The 19,790-nt window shown below is 33.3% G+C and overlaps 1 long non-coding RNA gene across 3 annotated transcripts in view; it reads left to right on the top strand.

Annotated features, from left to right (window-relative positions):
- Positions 1 to 19,790, top strand: part of TSG1 (tumor suppressor TSG1) — a 72,604-nt gene that overhangs the window by 19,131 nt on the left and 33,683 nt on the right. For all 3 annotated transcript variants that reach the window (NR_152794.1, NR_015362.2, NR_152795.1), the window contains 3 exons: positions 876 to 967; positions 13,474 to 13,525; positions 17,258 to 17,302. This is a non-coding gene — a long non-coding RNA (tumor suppressor TSG1). The remainder of the gene's footprint in view (positions 1 to 875; positions 968 to 13,473; positions 13,526 to 17,257; positions 17,303 to 19,790) is intronic.

Genomic DNA, 19,790 nt, shown 5'->3' on the forward strand with positions numbered 1-19,790 from the left:
CCAAACATATATAACATGTGTATGTATGTATGCTTTAACATTTCAAAATATAATGTGCTAAGTTTCAAAGCATTTATAATTAATTAAGCTGTTTTCACAGCCCTTTAGAAGAATATTTTTCCAGGATAGCTGACTGCATAATGCTTTGCATGATTTATTTATAGACTACTAATGAAGACATATCTAATCATCATAATTAATTGGTATTTTTGTGCTTTGGGGCCTAATCACAAAATCTTTTACATGCTGGCTCAAAGTAAACCTGGCTATGGGGCAAACATTTAGGACAAACCCTGCTTGTTGTTTTTAATATACAGCTCCATTTTATTGATTTGTTTATTCAACATTTCTGACTCTGATTATACAATGCCAGTATAAGTAGCCCATTTGGTCAATTTAACTTTTTAGAATACTTTCTTAAACAAACAAAAAGAAACCAGAGGAATCATATTTGGCATAGTAGATAAAAACTTCAGTTTTTTACATTATTTATTGTGTTGTGTTACTATCAGATAGTGATACTAAGAATTTTGATTACCTTGAAGTGAAAGCAGAATTATTCTCTTCTAATTTACTTGTTAATTTTCCTTTTTCTTTTACTCATATGAAAAGTAATTTGAACTCACTGTTACGAGACAAATTAAGATTTTGTTCTGTGTATTTTTTAGAGCTATTGGGAGTTCCTGAGGAAAACTCTCAGAACACCCACTTTCATGTTTAGATAATGAAATAGTGAGAAATTACACCAAGAGCAAAGGTGAATATCAAATATCTCTTTTATTTTGAAGAGAGGCCAGTTTAGTATGTGGCTTTTATGCTTTTATTTGTAGCAAGCACTAAAATTACACTGGTGTTTACCCTTTGTCCACAAACAGAAACATAGAAGCCTGCCCGGGAAGAGCAGGGTAGAACTTATATTCTCTTTGTTCAGCTTCCCAGAGGAATAAGAAGGCCAGAGTGAAGCCAGGTATGTCCAGCTATTCTTTCTCAAATTTATAAATTTCTTAAATCACTCCACCTACCATGGACAGAATGAGCTAAGAGAGAGGGGACTAGAATTTTACTAATTAAACTCCTCTCAAAGAAGAGTTTCAGATTAAAGATTTCCATCTATTAAAAAGAAAGAAGGAAAAACAATTATTTTGTATTTTCCAATGGCTATACTCAGTTTAAGTGATCCTTTGAATATTTTAGCATTAAAATATTCTAAACATTTTATCTGATATGTTTAATCCTATCATGAATCCCAAATATCACATCAGTGTTTGCTTCAGGTAAACCAACCTGTGACAGGTGCCTATTGTTTTATGAATATGAGCATGTTCTTCTTAAAAAGAGATAATAATTCAAACAGATTATAAGACAATGATTGAATATTAATAATGATAGTGAGAAATTAGAATATAACATAATGTATTTAGTTTTTATTTGAAACTTATCCATAGTTCTAAACCTTCCTTTGCTTTTTAACTAAAACACCATTTATTTGATCTCCTGCAAAGGATAGTGAGTTTTCTGGATGGTGACTTCTACTGAAGTTTCTGGAATTGGAATAACTTTCCTAACTAAATTAGTATATTAACTAATTTTATTTTTTGTGATTCTTCTGTATCTATGAATTTCATTTAAACTGACTACCTAGTGACCCAACGTAATTTACTTGCTTCTGCAAACATTCTGATTAAATCAGTCATTATTAAGCCCTTCTGAGAAGCCATGAAGAAGACAAGAAAAAGTGAATATTCCATCAATAAAAGGGAATCAAAGTGAGAGACAGATAAACATCATTAGCATTAATTAGTCTAATAAAATTGTTTAAAAATTTAAGCAATAGAAAAATATGGGGCCCAAAAAGGTTATATTTCTAAGTTAATGAATTTATGAAGATGAGAATTGTATAACTGTTTATATTAGCTTGGGCTTCTATTAAAAAAATCATAGACTGGTGACTTTAGAGCAGACATTTATTTCTCAAATTTGGAAACTGGAAAGTCTAAATTCAAGGTGCCACTCAATACAATTTCTGGTAGAAGTCTTCTTTCTGGCTTGTAGACAGCCATCTTCATCCTGTGTCATAATATGTTGGAGAGAAAGCAATTTTTGCACTTCTTCTTCTTATAACAACAATTCCATCATGAGGGCCCCACCCTCATAACCACATGTAGCCCTAATTAGCTCTCATTGTCTCCGTCTCCAAATACCATCACATTGTGCATTAGGACTTCAACATATGAGTCGAGTCTTGGGGGGACCCAATTCAGTCCACAGCACTAGTCGCAAAAAAAAAAATATATTTGAAATGAGAGCAGAAAACTTGGCTTTTCAGATTATGGAGAAATACTTGGATTCCAGCAGGTATCACCTTAGGAATGCTGAACTTAAGATAAAGAGACAGGGGGCTGAGTTCCATTGTGGGGCTGAATGCCTAAAAGGCTTGAGATGGCTTAAAAAATGTCTGTAACTTCACCTTCCTCAGTATTAAGATGGGGCTACCGAAAGATCTTTCATAGGGTTGTGTGTATTTCTAAATGAGATAAGATATATACTCTATGTGTCGAAACAATAATAGAAAATTAAAGGTAAGATATCACAACGTAATTTCTTCATTTCAGATACTGACACTATATATATATATATATATATATATATATATATATATACATGCACACTACATTTTAAAGGAATTATGAGAAAGATGGAGTATTTGAGAAATGAGCAATTTTGAGAAAAGAAGAGCTAGTCTATATGAAAGATGTTTAGGGAACTATATTTTAAGCCTTCCACCACTGACTGTCTTATGCAACTTTCCACACTCCTTATTGGATATTGTTCTTCCTGAGGAAGTTTGCTTTCCCTCTTTAAAATAGAGCCTGTGAAATTTTAAACTGTACTTTTGCATCCAATTGCTTGAACCATTTAAGTAGAGTTGACTGATTTCAGAAGCAGTGCTGTTAAAAATGGTGGGTAATTTGTTAAAAAAGGAAAACAAAACAGGGAGAAAAAACACAGGGTGAGACTGGGAAGAGAAATACCGGATATTGAGACCCCTGTGATGGCTTTAAAGCGTTGGGTTAATTATTCCTTCCCGGAAGTTAATGATGAGAGCTATTGGCTCAAACGTGTGAGTGAGTGAGGACAAGGAACACAAATAAACCTAACAGTAATTTATCTTACAAGTGTAAGAAAATGCTGTCTCCTTAGAATGTGTGTATTTCTTATTAAGGATTGGTAAGTAACCTTTAGAAACTGACTGTGCCAAATTAGCATTAGAAATTGGTAGTGTGGGTCAGGTGGGGTGGCTTACGCCTGTAATCCCAGCACTTTGGTTGGCTGAGGCGGGAGGATTACCTGTGTTTAGGAGTTTGAGACCAGCCTGTCCAACATGGTGAAACCCCGTCTCTACTAAAAACTACAAAAATTAGCTGGGCGTGGTGGTGGGTCCCTGTAATCTCAGCTACCTGGGAGACTGAGGCAGGAGAGTCGCTGGAACCTGGGAGGCGGAGGTTTCAGTGAGCCGAGATCACGCCATTGCACTCCAGCATGGGTGACAGAGTGAAACTCCGTCTTAAAAAAACAAAAAGAAAAAGAAATTGATAGTGTGGGCTGGTTATGGTGGCTCAGGCCTGTAATCCTAGCACTTTGGGAGGCTGAAGAAGGCCAGTCACATGAAGTCAGGAGTTCAAGAGCAGCCTGGCCAACATGCTGAAATTCCGTCTCTACTAAAAATACAAAATAAAATAAAATAAAAAAAAATTAGCTGGGCGTGGTTGCACATACCTGTAATCCCAACTACTTGGTAGGCTGAGGTAGGAGAATCACTTGAACCCAGGAGTCAGAGGTTGCAGTGAGTGGAGATCATGCCATTGCACTCCAGCCTGTGTGACGAGAGTGAAACTTCGTCTGAAAAAAAAAAAAAAAAAAAAAGAAGAAGAAAGAAATTGATAGTGTGCTGCAGCACATTCTTGATTAATACTAAAAGCATATATTTTCTAAATAAACACTTCCCTTAATTTTTATTAAATATAAGCACAAATTTTCTCCATTTCCACACTGTTTAGTTTACTGTGTTAAACATTTGCCCACCATTTTTTTAAAGGATGTAGAATATACAAAAAACTCTTCATAGCTTGAAATGTGCATAGGAGATAGATGAGTTTAGGTACTGCAGGACGAAAAGACTTGATGTGTTTTATGCCATGCTTATTTATTCCAACTATAAAAACAGAAATGATCCACAAAGTAGTTTGATGGATAATGACTGAAGTTGTAAAAGTTATTGTGACTAATGGTATTTACCCTGTTTGGTTAATTGAAAATCAAGGTGAAATTACCCTCTAGATAGATCTTATATTTTATAACGTTTGTAAAATCATAAAAAGGTTATGTCATCCTCAATTCTCAAAAAAATTATATTGTTTTTGAGACTGTCAGAACATATTTTCCAACAGTATTACACAAACGGGCAAACAATCTGATATGATGACCTAATCGTTTTTATGTTTGGCCATTACAAGTGTTGGCAGTTCCCTGGCTTCTGTTTGGAAGTAGTGTGTCAGTTGCATCTTATAATATGTTTGCCTTTGGTGAGGCATCAGAAAACATGTCACATATTGGAGATTTATGTACTATAAAATGTCTCAGGAGCTTAACTTCACCATTAGGGTTACTCTTGTATAAACTTTGATAAAAGTAATATCTTTGCTCCCTCCCAAGATAAATGAAAGAATTTAAGCCCACTTCGAGAATTCTAAACTTTTGTGGTCAGTCTTCTTTTGTCCTCCAAGTTTGTAATTAATAAGGTTTAAACAAAGCTTCAATCTGGTGGATAGTCTGAGCTTTTGACTTAATCGATCAGTTTGAAAATTATTAGCTAATTCCTTTACTCTACTTCTACCCCAACCCAGGATTTAGCTGTCTATCTGAGTAACGTATTTGCCTGGTTTTATGTATTAGCATACTCTCAGTTGAAAAAGCAAATCCGAATATTCACATTGATAAAGCACTTGCACAATAAAAGGGGCCATAAAAGTATTTATCATGCTTCTGAGATGTATTAGTCAATAAAATGAGTTATTCATTGAAATTTAATAGGGTGCAATCTCAGATGGAGTGCAAGCTCCGATTGAAAAATTGAGACATTTTCTTGCTGGAGGGAAGGATACATGCACGTCTAGCACTATGCAAGTTGTAAGGATGCTGGAAAGCAGGCAACTGGATGGAATCCTGAATCACATCTCACACAGCTGCTGCTGCTTCACTTTCTCTAAGAGCAGGGCTATGCTGATTAAGCCATAAGCATTTGCAAAGATTTTTTTATTTTCTTTTATTATTTTCTGGCCATCTGTAAATCAAAGAAGAACAGGAATAGGTGGCTTTCTTCCTTCAGCAACAGATCACCAATCCTCCTCTCTCACATAAAATTTTGCCCTGATCAAACTATTTTCTATTCCTCAATCAAATTCTGCAGTTTCTTTGTTTCTTCTACCTAAAGTGATTTTTATCAAATATTCATGTATCAAAAGGCATCAGTAACCATTTTTTCATTTAAACCTTTACTTATCACTTTAATTTAACTTGTTCTTATATATTTATAAATTCTTAGAATGCTCTGCCTATATTAATGGAATTTTTCAATGTAACCTTGCTAACTTATTGTAGTCATTTAAAAGATACATCTCTAAATTCTTTGATACTCCTCATTGCAAAATACACAGCTTAATTCATCTCCTTTTGAGTGAGGACTAGACTTAGTTATTCTTTTCTATTGAATAGCATATGGCAGAAGTAATAAGATTTCACTTGCAAGATTAGGTTATAAAAATCTGAGGTTTCCTTCCAGAATTTTATTTCTTTCTTGCTCTTCTCACTCTCTTTTTCTTCCTCTCTTCCCTGAATTACTCACTCTGGGGAAGCCAATATTGTTGCTGCTCAGGCAACCTTTGGAGAGGCCCACATCGTGAGGAACTGAAACCCACCAATATCAGTTATCTTGGAAATGAATGATATTCATATTCACTTCTCCCCATTGAACCTTGAGATAATAACTATAGCTCCGGCCAGTATGTGGCTGAAACTTTGTGAGTGATCCCAAGACAGAACTACCCAGCTAAGACACCTAGATTCCTGATCCTCAGACACTGTGAGATAATAAATGTTTATTGTTTTGTGCTATTGAGTTTGCAGTAATTGGCTTTGCAGCAATAGACAGCTAATACACTTGTATATCTTTACTTTCTCTTTTACTAGATTATGAACTTTATGAAGAAAAGGATACATACTATTGATGTTCTATTTTCAGTCTAGATAATACATGCCTGCAGATGTAAAAAATATAATCTCAAAAGATTAAGCCAACAAAAGTTTATTTGTACTAATATAAAGTCTAATATGGGTAAGGAGATGTAATAAAAATAAACAAATACATATATAATTTTTGATGGTAATTAATTATCTGAAAAATATAAAACATCTGTAGTAACTTAACAGAGTTACTGAGAAAGGGAAGGTAGAAGGTACATTTGGACAGAGTGGTGAAAAAGTCCCTACTACTAGAAGTTTAGATTGGAGCTGAAACCTGAACATGACCAACTGGCTCTGCAAATATTAGGGGAAGAGCATTCTGGACTGAAGAGCAAATGCCCCAGGTAAGGACTTTTTCTAGCTTGCTGACAGGAAACAAAGTCAGCTGGTGGGCAGGAACCTGTTAAGGGAGTATTTTGTAGGTAATAATGAAGAAGTTGGAATTTATCAAAAAGTTTCATTGGAACTTGCATTTGCTGTAAGTCAATACTCCAGAGAAGACCATGGTCAGCTGTGAGTTATTATCATCTGACACAACAGCTGGGCCATGAGTGCCCCAGCTGGAAAAGGACCTCAAAGTGGATCACCAAGAGCATCTATGACAATCACATTGGCCACTGAATGAGAATTAATGTGGTGGTGGTAGTGTGATCGGGCAAGTGAAGAGTAGGACAACCAATTAGTAGGCTGCTGTAATACCACAAAAAAGGGGAAATCATTCATTAAACTGGCATTAGATGTAGAAAAGAGGAGTTGATTGATAAAAAAAAGATTTAGGATGTATTTTGGAAGAAGAATCATGAGATGAGATATTTGGATTGACATCTCCTTCCAGAATACATCCTAAATCTCTTTTCTTTCAACTCTTTTCTACATCCAGCCCCAGTTTAATGGAAAGTGGATAATGAAACATTATCCCCTTCACCATCTTTTTTTTTTTTTTTTTTTTTTTGGTTTGGTCTGTATTACTGGATAGTGCTCTTTACAGAAAAAAAATTTAGGGAGATACAAAAAATACCATATCTTCCCAATATCTCTCAAGATAATTCTGTGTTTAGAAAGACACTTCAGTGTTGTATATCACTTGAAGAGAACAGGGTAGAAAGGGTTTCAAGGGGAGGAAGGAAAAGTGGAGAAGGGAGCTAGAGGTCAGCAAGGGAAGGAGTAATTAAAAAGACAATAAGGTAAAGAACAATACAAAAGGAAAGGAAAATGAAATAAAATATGTAAGGCATTAAAGGAAAAAAGAAAACAAAGTCCAAGGGTAATCAGTGTAAACTGGTTAAAAAAGAAAAGTGAAAATGAAAGCAATGAAAGGAATAGAATTACATGTCTCTGAGACCCTTCAGGGGTCTGTAAGGTCCCATTCCATGTCTGTGTGAGATCAGAATTTCTTCGTATAGTTCAACCAAATAACATATTGCAACAGACCGAATGTAGAAGTAGGTATGAAAATCTAGCTATTTTCTAATAAGTGAGGCAATGCAGAGATTTACAAAAATGAAAAATGATGCTACTCTTATCATTAATATTCTAAACAATATAGTTATTTTAATAAAACACATTATATTGATTTTAACATGTAATGAGTTTATGTTATGTATAAGAATATTTTAAAACTGAATTCAATATATTTTCTAATAAGGAATATATATATTTATATATCTCCTACAGAAATAAAAGCTCTTTGGGATCTAGTTTTTAAGGGAAAAAGTGGTTCTATGACCAAAACATTTGAGGATTATTGCTGTGAAAGTCACCGAGATTTTGTGGCAAATGTTAATTAATATACTCTTCTACCAAGCTCCTCTTCATCTGGAAAAACAATGTGTTATCACCTGGTTATTTAGTAATCATAACTCAGAGATTTTACTCTGAAAAGAATAGCCAAAATTGCCAGACAAGATGTAAAATAAGTATATGTCATTTAATGACAGGAATATGCTCTGAGAAATGTGTCATTATATGATTTAGTCATTGCAGAACATCACAGCATGTACTTACACAAAGTAGATGGTACAACCTAGTACACACCCAGCCTATATGGTGTAGCCTATTGTTCCTAGGCTATAAAACTGTACAGCATGTTACTGTACTGAATTTTATGGCCAATTTAACTCAATGGTAAGAAATTGTGTACAATTATGTGCAATTATGTACAGACATTAAAAAGTTACAGTAAAAATACAGTATTAAAGTCTTTTAACATATTACACTTGTGTAGGGTACTTACGATGAGTAAAGAAAGCTTGCAGTCCTAGAAGTTACTCTAGTGAGTCATTGAGTGATTGAGTGGTAAGTGAATGTGAAGGTCCAGGGCATTAATGTACACTTTGTAGACTTTATAAATATTGCAAACTTTGGCTACACTAAATTTATAAAGAAATTTCTTTCTTCAATTATATATTAATCTTAATGTACTGTAACTTTCTTTCTTTATAAACTTCATAAAATTTTAACTTTTTGACTCTTGTAATAACACTTAGTTTAAAACCAAAGCACATTGCACAGCTGTACTAAAATATTTTCTTTCTTTCTATCCAAAAGAAGGTAGAAGAATTTGGAAGAACCCTTGGAAGTAGATGCTGTGATAATTAAATGTAAATATCAATATTAGATATAACAAATTATTTTTAAAAATCAACAAAAACGCCTTCCAATCAGTGTTTAAAAACAGTTACTATAAATCTGAAGAAAAATCTTTTCCCATATATCAGGTACTGTAATAAATTTTGGCAAAAAAAATTCTGATGAATGTAAAAGGGAATATTAGTCATGTAGTCATTGTCACCATGATCCCTGATAAGTGAAGACATGCAAACCATAAATGTACACATACAGAGACACCAGAATGTCATTAATTTGGATTTGCAAAAGCAGGCACCTTCTTATTCTACTGTACTAATGAAAGGGTTAGCTTCTATCTAGTGCAGATGTGTGCTGTGAGTGCACAATTAACTTCTACTAAGATCCATATTCATGGATTGTTTTCCGTTTTAAATACTGTTTGTCAGATGATGCTTTTTGTATACAATTTTAAGCCATGAGAACTGATTCTTTTCGGGGGAAAGGGTAAAAATCATTTAGAAATTAGATTTAGATTTTATTTTTACAAAAATTTCTTAGACATTTTAAAGTTTTAACATATTCAGATAATTTTGATTTACAACTTTTAAGCTTTGGACAAAAAAACTCATTAAAGTGGCAAATAAATTATAGGAAGCAAATTCAATTAGACAAATTCAAATAACATAAATAGTTACTCAATGTAAAGTCAGGTACACAAATATTTATGACAATATTTAATAAAAATTTACTAGGTATAGATCTTTTAACCTATCTAAGGATAATTTATAGTAAATAATATCTTATTACAATAAAATGTTTTTAAATATGTTAAATTTCTTCTGGATATCTTCTCTTCTCTATTAGTATGCATAGCTTATTCTTTTTTCCCTCTTTAATTTCAGATCTCATTCTATTTAAATCATCCTAAATTTTCAGTTATTGAAAAATTGCATTGCAAAGGTTTTACTGAATTGCTGGGGGATATTAGTCCACTTTAACTTTGAAATTAAATTATAAACTGTTTTGTTACATAATAAAGACAGCTTACAGAATTTGGACAGTGATTAAAGTAATTTTAAAATATGTATTCAGTAGTCATCTCATTAATTTCCAACTCTGAAGTGTAGCTAAATACCACTGTCCTTCTCTCTCTCTCTCCCCCCACCACCCAGGCGCACACAGACACACGTGTGTGCCAAATATGGAAATGTGAAGATAGAGGTTCAGCTAGGTTAGGTAACTTTGCTAAAATCACACAACTAATCTTACTTTGAACTCTGCTTTACAGTGAACAAATTAAATTTTTTATTGCTTTGAGAAATTGAGCTGAGTACAGTGGCTCAAACCTGTAATCCCAGCACTTTAGGAGGCCGAGGCAGGTGGATCATGAGGTCAGGAGTTCGAGACCAGCCTGGCCAACATGGTGAAATCCCATCTCTACTAAAAATACAAAAATTAGCTGGGCATGATGGTGCACGCCTGTAATCCCAGCTACTCGGGAGGCTGAGGCAGAAGAATTGCTTGAACCCAAGAGGCAGAGGTTGCAGTGAATCGAGATCAAGCAACTGCAAGACAGCTTGGGCTGTTGACAGAGTAAGACTCTGTCTCAAAAAGAAAAAAAAAAGAGAGAAATTGAATGAGAAAATAATAATTTTAGAGAGACTCTAAGACTTAGCTATAGCAGCTATGTGTTCCAAAAAAAAAAAAAATTCCCTGAACCCCTCTGAATTCTAGCTTTCTCACTGCAAAGCAGGTTAATATTATCTACTTTACAAATATGTGAGGATTATATTCCAAAAGCTCCTTCTTACCCAGGTATATTTTTCCCTGTGCTTTTCACAAGGATTAGGGCATATAATGAAAAGTCAGGAGGGGAAAGACACTCATTTGACATGCACTAGTGTGAAGGGAACTACTAATTATAGATCTGGCTGCAGAAACTCAACTGGATAGTAAAAACAAATGTTGTCTCTCCCAGCAGTGATCAATTAGGGCTTTGTGACAAAGAAAAGGGATACCATGCTTCTAGAATCTAGATAGACAACTATATTTGTTTTCTATTGCTGTATAGCAAATTTTCATAAATTTAGTAACTTAGTAGTCATGTATTACCTCAGGATTTTTTTTTTTCCCCTGAAGTTTGACCACACCTTAACTGGTTCCTCTGTTCTGTGTCTCACAAGGCTGACATCAAGGTGTCAGCTGCGAGACTGCAATCTTATCTGAAGTTAAAAATCTCCTTTCAGCTCCTTGGTTGTTGCTACAATTCATTTCCTTGTAGTAGCAGGATAGAAGCTCTTGATTTCTAGAACTTATCCACTATTCCCTGCCACATGACCCTCTCCACATGGCAATTTGATATTCAAAGGCCAAGGAAAGCAAATCTACTACTGCTTCTTCTCTTTTACCTCTAGATCCTTTTTTAAAAGGCTCATGTCATTATGTCAGACCCACCTAGGATAATCTTTCTTTTGATTAACACAAATACAACTCAATAGAAACCTTAATTATATTTGCAAAATCCATTCATCTTTGCATTATAAAGTAACCTAATCTCGGCTGGGCGCGGTGGGTCATGCCTGTAATCCCAGCACTTTGGGAGGCCAAGACGGGCGGATCACGAGGTCAGGAGATCGAGACCATCATGGCTAACACGGTGAAACCCCGTCTCTACTAAAAACACAAAAAAATTAGCTGGGCGTGATGGCGGGCACCTGTAGTCCCAGCTACTCGGGAGTCTGAGGCAGGAGAATGGCGTGAACCCGGGAGGCGGAGCTTGCAGTGAGCGGAGATCATGCCAGGGCACTCCAGCCTGGGCGACAGAGCGAGACTCTGTCTCAAAAAAAAAAGTAACCTAATCTCAGGAGTAATCTCATCATATCCATAGATCTTATCTGCAATTTAAGGGGAGAGGTTAAAAATTGGGGTCATGTTACAATTTCATCATTGTAGGCATTGGAGTTGTCTTCTCATTATCCATTTCACTTCTCTCACTTACATATCAGTCATGCAGTTCGGCTATAATACCTTGTCTCCTGGAGTGAGTCCTGATTAGAAAAAGCAAGTGACTTTCAAATGTTTTTAACTTGGCAACCCACAATGATAAATACATGCAAAAATACATGTTGCATTACAATCTAATGCAGATACACACACATCTATATAACTGAAAAACACTTAGCTTTGCTATGTGCAATTCACTCTATTCTGTTCTATTCTATTCTGGTCTACTTTAGTCTACTCCATTCCATTCCATAAGTAAACAAATGCTAGTTACACTTCAACAAATTGTTATAAAAAACCCATCAGTGCGTCACCCTAGAAGCTGAAAAACACTGGAGTAAGCCATTCATTGTGAGTCTATTATCTGGCCAGTGACTATTTTAAGAAAGCTGAGCATTTTATCCCCCAAACAAAGGCGGAATAAAAATTCAGAGGTAATGAGTCCTCCAGTGGGAAATTACTCGGTAAATTTGAGCAGGTAAAAGCAAATACCTTAACCAGAATCTAGAATAAATGAGAATGCATGTAAAAACATATGCAAATATAATGGAAGACATTTTATAAATTATTATTTTGTTATCCCACCATGGCTGCCCTGGATTTTTAGTAAACCTTAGCAGAGTTGATGGTGTCCCTACTCATTCTATATACTCATCTCAAGTGAGTAAAGCAAGATTGTGTCTGAAGCCTTGTCTAGCTTCATTTATTTTATGCTGCCATGCTTAGGAATATAATGGGAGACTTAGAAGCCAAGTCGGTGTCAGAATTGTATGTGCACAGCGGCAGTACCTGTTGTCTGAAATTCTGATTCAGAGGATCAGGTTTGTGTGCCAGGTGAAGATTAATTGTACAAATGTCAATCTTCTTGGGGGTTCATTAAATTATGATACTTAATTAACATCAATGTCAGTGAAAGAAAAAATACCCAAAGCTTCCCTAAAAGCTGTTCATATTCAAATATATGTTGATTGATGGAAGCCTATTGTTTCCCAGTGCCTAGTAATATTCTTCACTGCATATATTACCTGGAGACTTCCCCAAACACTGAGATATTTGGAACTCTAATGAAAAAATAGCTTCTATTGTCAGATGGAAAGTGCAATTTTATGAGCAGACCTAGTGCCTCTCTTCATCCATCCATTGAGTGTGTATCTACAACTTGATTGATTTCGACATATTCTTTACCAGCCAGTTATTGATTACAGAATCCCATGAGTAAAAATAAGAACCTATTTGTTGGTTGGAATATCATAACATGTTAGCAAGACATGGTTTCAATTTATGAAGTATAATATTGACTTCATTTCTAGGTAATATAAAATAATAATAAAATGCAATTATGTGATTTATTTATTTAAATAGTCTCATCCAGTATAATTTAGAGTAACTTTGTAAAGTACTTAGCAAGGGATTACTAAATAGTGAAAACGATTAGGTCAGGTATAGTGTTAGACGTTACAGAAATCATGCTGCTGTCAAGTAAGGATGTTAATGGAAACATGAATCTAGTCTCATCTTTCTTGAGACTTATTATTGGTTACATAAAATGCATTAATTCTATGATATTTGTAAATAAAGGAATGACTCTAAATTATTTTGCAGGATAGGAAGAAACATGAAGCGATGAAACATACTGAACAATTCCATGTTTATGGTGAATATCCATGATTATTTCAATGTATATTTGTGTGACTTGAGGTGGGTAGGCTTTAGGAATTATGATCCTGTAGCAGAATAGGTAGATAGCAGGGTAAAGACAGAAGACAAGCTAAACAAAAATCAAATGTATTCATTAGGAATCACAAAATATACAGCATGTTTTTATTTAGCATATAAATACATTGTTTATCAAGACCAGCATACGGCAAAAATGAATTATTGCTTTTCTTCTAACCGTAAATGACTTAAAAGTCATCAAGAATAATGCACTAGAGAATAGGCCTAGAAATAGAAAACAGAAATAGAGAAAATCATAAGCAAGAGATCCTACAAACCAGCAATCTAAGTCCTAATGAGAAAGAAAAACTATAAGAATAGATTGAAATAAAAGCTACAGTTGTAATATGTTAACCTCCAAACAAAATGTAATTAAGTGTAGACGCAAGAACCAGTTCCATAAATAGCTATTCATAATCATATACAATTGCCATGCCATTATTTTCTATTAGAAAAATATGAGAATAAAATACAATATTAAATGTCTGATAGAATTGAGTTCCTAATTAAGTCTTCAACTGAATTAAGTCAGCATCTTCCTTTCACTTTTTCTTTATGTCTTGTGTATAGGCTGTTAAAGATGCTTGGCATAATTATGATCAAAATAGATGTATTTTTGCCTGTTCTGAACAACAAGAAGTTTGGCAGGAAATTAAGAACCTAAACCACAGCCAAATTGCTGAATCCTTGAATTGTTTAAGGATTCAAGCAAGAAAAACCTATGGCCTAAACTGGAAAAAAAAAAAAGTGCATTTGTGACCTCTTCTCTCTCCAGCACTTAGTTTAAAACAACAAATTCCTGCCACATAAAAAATAATCTATTTACTGGCATAATTTTAAGCAGTTTAGCCTGCTGAATATGTATTGTAGGATTCTTATTAACATTCTTTATGTTCCTAAATTTTAAATAAATTATTAAATCCTTCACCATTTGTAAAGAGTGACTCTTTCCCTCCAAACTGGTCACATTTCATTGGATCATCACACTTTGGCCTTCCTTAATAAGCATGAAATCTCTATACTGCAGTTTCTAAAAAGTCTCAGTTTCATGACTGAGGGAACACATAATGGGATATGAAGCCTTTTGCCTCTAAGTTTTACATGTAAATTCAGTGTCTATTGTCAGTGACCAAGTATTATGATATCTCATGAGGATTCTAGAACTGACACAAAATATTTAGTTGCCTCAATTTAATTTTTAGGAAGATGTTATTTTTATTACTTTAAATTAAAACCATAATTGATTGAAAGCTTCAACTGGGTCTACAGTTAAATGAGTCAAGGAATAAGTTTTGCTCAGAGTCTTTATTGTTTATGGAAATTCTAGCTCATTTGGGAAGCTTATGCTCCCTTCAACAGTTTCTAAGAATTGTAGGAAAAATAAAAATATATCAGAACTGAAAGTTTTCAAATGAGATATTACAATTATAAAAAAGTTAGAAATTGTTTAAGCTATACACTTTTGAAGAAAGTTATGATTTGCCTGTACTTGGGACTTCTGGTTCTGATCATAATGAAGTAGCTGATATTCTTATGATAGGAGCCTTATCATCCTATCAACAACTATAAATATTAAAATTTTACATGAAGTAACTTTTTCAAGCATTAGCAAAAACAGAGGGTAATATTACTTCAGAGAAGGTGAAAACATGCTTATGAGATATTGTCCTGTGTTAAGTATTCAAAAGCCCAGCATCTAAAAATATTTTTCTTAATTTAGATTTTTTTTTAATTTTTATTTTAAGTTCAGGGGCACATGTGCAGCTTTGTTGCATAGGTGAACTTGTGTCATGGCGATTTGTTTTACAGAATTTTTCATCATTCAGGTATTAGCTGGAGGCCATTATCATTAACAAACTAACACAATAACAGAAAACCAAATACTGCATGTTCTCGCTTATAAGCGGGAGCTTAATGACAACATTTATATATTTTAGCTTAGAAACATTCTCAAATCATTCCAGAAATGTAAACTCACTTTTGATAACTACATTTATAAAATTTTTATTGTTTAATGACAACTTTAATTATTGAATTGCAAATACAATTATATTTTTCCTCAGTAGAGAAATATTAAGAGCAAAATGAAAAATAATTATACAAAAATAAGGGAAGTAGGACTTTGCAATGTTTAGAGGCAAAATTTTTCTCAGCTTTTTTTTTTTTTTTTTTTTTAGCTTGGTAAACCAACTTCTCATCTGATAGTATTACTTCTCATTGCCTCAGCAAAACTATTTTTGAATCTACAAAGCCTTTGCCACCATCCTATTCAGGGAAATCTATCACAGTTTTGCAAATCACTCAAATTTTGCAGAAAATTATAATGCTGAAAATGATCACACAAGGCTTCATTTTAGCTTCAGCCTAGTTCTGTTCTTGGATATCAGAATATATTGCAGGTGCTTAATCCTAAAATGACTCTACACAATTTGCTTCTTTCTATCAATGAAATGGTAGTTTCCTTTTAAAAATAATCAATCTCATATCAATCATATGATTATATTTTATATACTCTTTACTGTTATATTAAAACATTCATTTAATTATTTAAAAAGTTGATATATATGGTACTAATATAATATTTTAATAGTAAAATATTACATTATGAGGATACACTAATTCTAAATCTATCTGCCTTAAGAGTAACAATATTATCACAATTTGCTAGAAGGTAATGTAAGGTAAGCAGTTTGAAAGTAAGGAAAAAATTTATTGAATGAAGTTAGAAATTGATCCATAAAAGATAAATGATTGACTTGGAAAATAAGGCACATTTTGTGCAGGTAACAGCTAATATTATTGTCCATGGCTTTACATATAATTCTGGAATTGTCATAGAAAGAAAGTCACTTTTTGGCCACTAACTACTTGCTTCTATCAAAACTTGAAACTTGTTTTAAAGATATCATTTATCATGTACTTTTAAATTGCTTTTCAGCAATGTAAATTTTAAAATATTCTAAAAAATAGTTCTTCAAATACAAGTCTAAAATATTCCAAAAACTTTATAAAACTGCATACAAATGAGGAAATGGTCCTAGTAGGGCACTGAGGTAAAATTAACAATTAGAAGTTAACATGTGAGGTACTAAAAGTTACTGAAAATAGATTTGTGTTGTGTGGATTATTTGACTCCTAAAATATTAATGTCATGATTACCATAAAAGTTCTAGACAAACTGCACGTAAAATTTATAAATCACCAACTAATTAATTTTTGCTATAATTATACATATTCTTATATAGATTCCCACTTATCTACCACAAACAGATTTCTGTTTTTATAATCCAGAGAGAAAACTTTGCTAAAATTCTCATATGAGATAGGCATAAAGTAAAGCAAATGTGGGAAAGCTTTGGTTCTTCCTTCTTTTTGCTTTGGCTGACATGAAAAACTTAATGCTGAGAGAGTTGTACTCTTCTGAAAACAGTAAAAAGCAAAAAATTTCTGGTTATTTTCCAATGACTCCTGCTGCTAAGTTGGTATCACTAGAAACAGACCTATTTTGATGCTCATGCCTGTAGTGATTCTTGCATATTTAGTTCTTAATTATTTGGATTAACTGTAAGAGGTCAAATGCATTTGAGCTATAGTTTTTCACAATTGTATAGTTTCCAAAATATTCTCCTCTGCTCATAAGATATATTCTCAATGGTCAAATCTTTTGCAGGAAAAAAATTCTGGTAATGAACTTACTTCACACCAAAGAGACAAGGTAAGCCTTGAAAATAAGTTCTTGGATCATCTGGGAAAATAGAAAATGTCTAATATTTTAAAGGATAATATCAGTATAGTGTTAAACAAACCTAGTACTCATTTATCCTAGTTGTGAGCCTTTGTGCTAGTTTTGTCATAGCCCCAATTATTAGATTTATCAACTTTTAAATGAATTTTTTTTAATTTTTCAAGGTATTAATTGCTTCCAAGAAACAAACAAACAACATGCAAAGAAAAAAAAAAAAGAAACTATGGTGATGATGGAATATTAACATTTTTATTATTAAATATTTGTTCTTAAAATATTTAATGTATTAAAATATATGTCATAATAACCAAAGATGAATCAAGCAATAGGTCTCAGGGTATCCTGAAACAAAGACTTAGAAAGACATCAATCAAAAATGAACCAAGGATATTCTCTGTGATACCTAGGGATACATGGTCTCACATCTTCACTTCTCTTTTAAATTGTCTTTTTATTTGTTCTCTCTGCAGATTGTTTTTCTGTGCTCACTTGCATGAGGCAGATTTTTATCAAACAAATTCTGATATTAGTAGCATAGTACATTTAATAATCTGCTAAATAATCTTACACTTACTTATTAGGTTACTGTTCATATTTATGTTGATAATACAATTTCAAATAATTGTATAAATATAGGATAAAGCAAACAAGTAATTATATGAATATTGTTAGGAATTAAAGTTTAAATGTAATAGAAAAGATATACAAATATAAGTTCAAGAAAATTTACTAACAACTTGTAATAACTAATTTAATTTGGATACTTTCATATGAACTCATAATATTTATAAAATATGTCAAAGAGTAACTACACTCCCATGTTAATTATGAAATTGTTTACCAACAGCCAAGATATGGAATTAACATTAGTGTCCATCAGTCAATGAATGTAAAAAGAAAGTATGGTATACATTTCTATATGTATACACATGAACACAAAAATGGCACACTATTTAGCCTTAAAAAAGAAAATCCTGCAATTTGCAACAGCATGGATAAACATGAGGAACATTATGCTAAGTGAAATAAGCTAGGATAGTAATGTATGGCTTCACTTATATATGGAATCTAAAAACTTTGAACTCATAGAAGAGAGAGTGTCATGGTGGTTACCAGGGATTGGGAGAAGGTGGAAGATTGGGATGAAAGATATTGGTCAAAGGATACAAGATTTTAGTTAAACAGGAGAATCAATATCATTCAAAAGGCTGTATTGCCCAAAGGAATTTATAGATTCAGTGTTATTTCTATTACGCTACCACTGACATTCTTCACAGAACTAGAAAAACTATTTTAAAATTCATATGGGACAAAAAAAGATCCTGAAGAACCAAAGCAATCCTATGTAAAAGGAATAATGCTGGAGGCATCACACTACTCAACTTCAAACTATACTACAGGACTGCAGTAACCAAAACAACATAGTACTGGTACAAAAACAGACACATAGACCAATGAAACAGAATAGAGAACCCAGAAATAAGACCACACACCTACAACTATCTGATCTTCAACAAACCTGACAAGAACGAACAATGGGGAAAGAATTCCCTATTCAATAATTGGTGCTGGAATAACCGGCTAGTCATATGCAGAAGATTGAAACTGGATCCCTTCCTTACACCATATACAAAAATTAACTCAAGATGGATTGAAGACTTAAATGTAAAACCACAAACTATGAAAACTCTGGAAAGCAATACCTTTAAGGACATAGGCACAGGCAAAAGATTCATGAGGAAAATGCCAAAAACAATTTCAACAAAAGCAAAAATTGACAAATGTGATCTAATTAAACTAAAGAGCTTCTGCAAAACAAAAGAAAGTATCAACCTAGCAAACAGACAGCCTATAAAATGGGAGAAAATTTTTGCAAACTATGCATCTGACAAAGGTCTGACATTCAGCATCTACAAGGAACTCAAATTTACAAGAAAAAAAAAAAAACCAAAATGTGGACAAAGGACATGAACAGACATTTTTCAAAAGAAGATATACATATAGCCAACTCATATGAAAAAATGCTCAATATCACTGATTATTAGAGAAAGGCAAACCAGAGCCACAATTGGATACCATTTCACAACAGTCAGAATGGCTACCATTAAGAAGTAAAAAGAAAAAATAAACAGATGCTGGCGAGGTTGTGGAGGAAAATAAAAACACTTATACAATGTTGGTGGGAGTGTAAATTAGTTCAACCATTGTGGAAGACAGTGTGGTGATTTCCCAAAGACCTAAAGGCAGAAATACTATTTGACTCAACAATTATATCACTGGGTATATATCTAAAGGAATATAAATAATTCTATTATACTATAAAGACACATGCACATGTATGTTCATTGCAGCAATATTCACAAAAGCAAATAAATGGAATCAACCTAAATGCCCATCAAGGATAGACTGAATAAAGAAAATATGGTACATATACACCAAGGAACACTATGCAACCATA

Source organism: Homo sapiens, chromosome 6, assembly GCF_000001405.40.
Source record: "Homo sapiens chromosome 6, GRCh38.p14 Primary Assembly".
Taxonomy (NCBI): domain Eukaryota; kingdom Metazoa; phylum Chordata; class Mammalia; order Primates; family Hominidae; genus Homo; species Homo sapiens.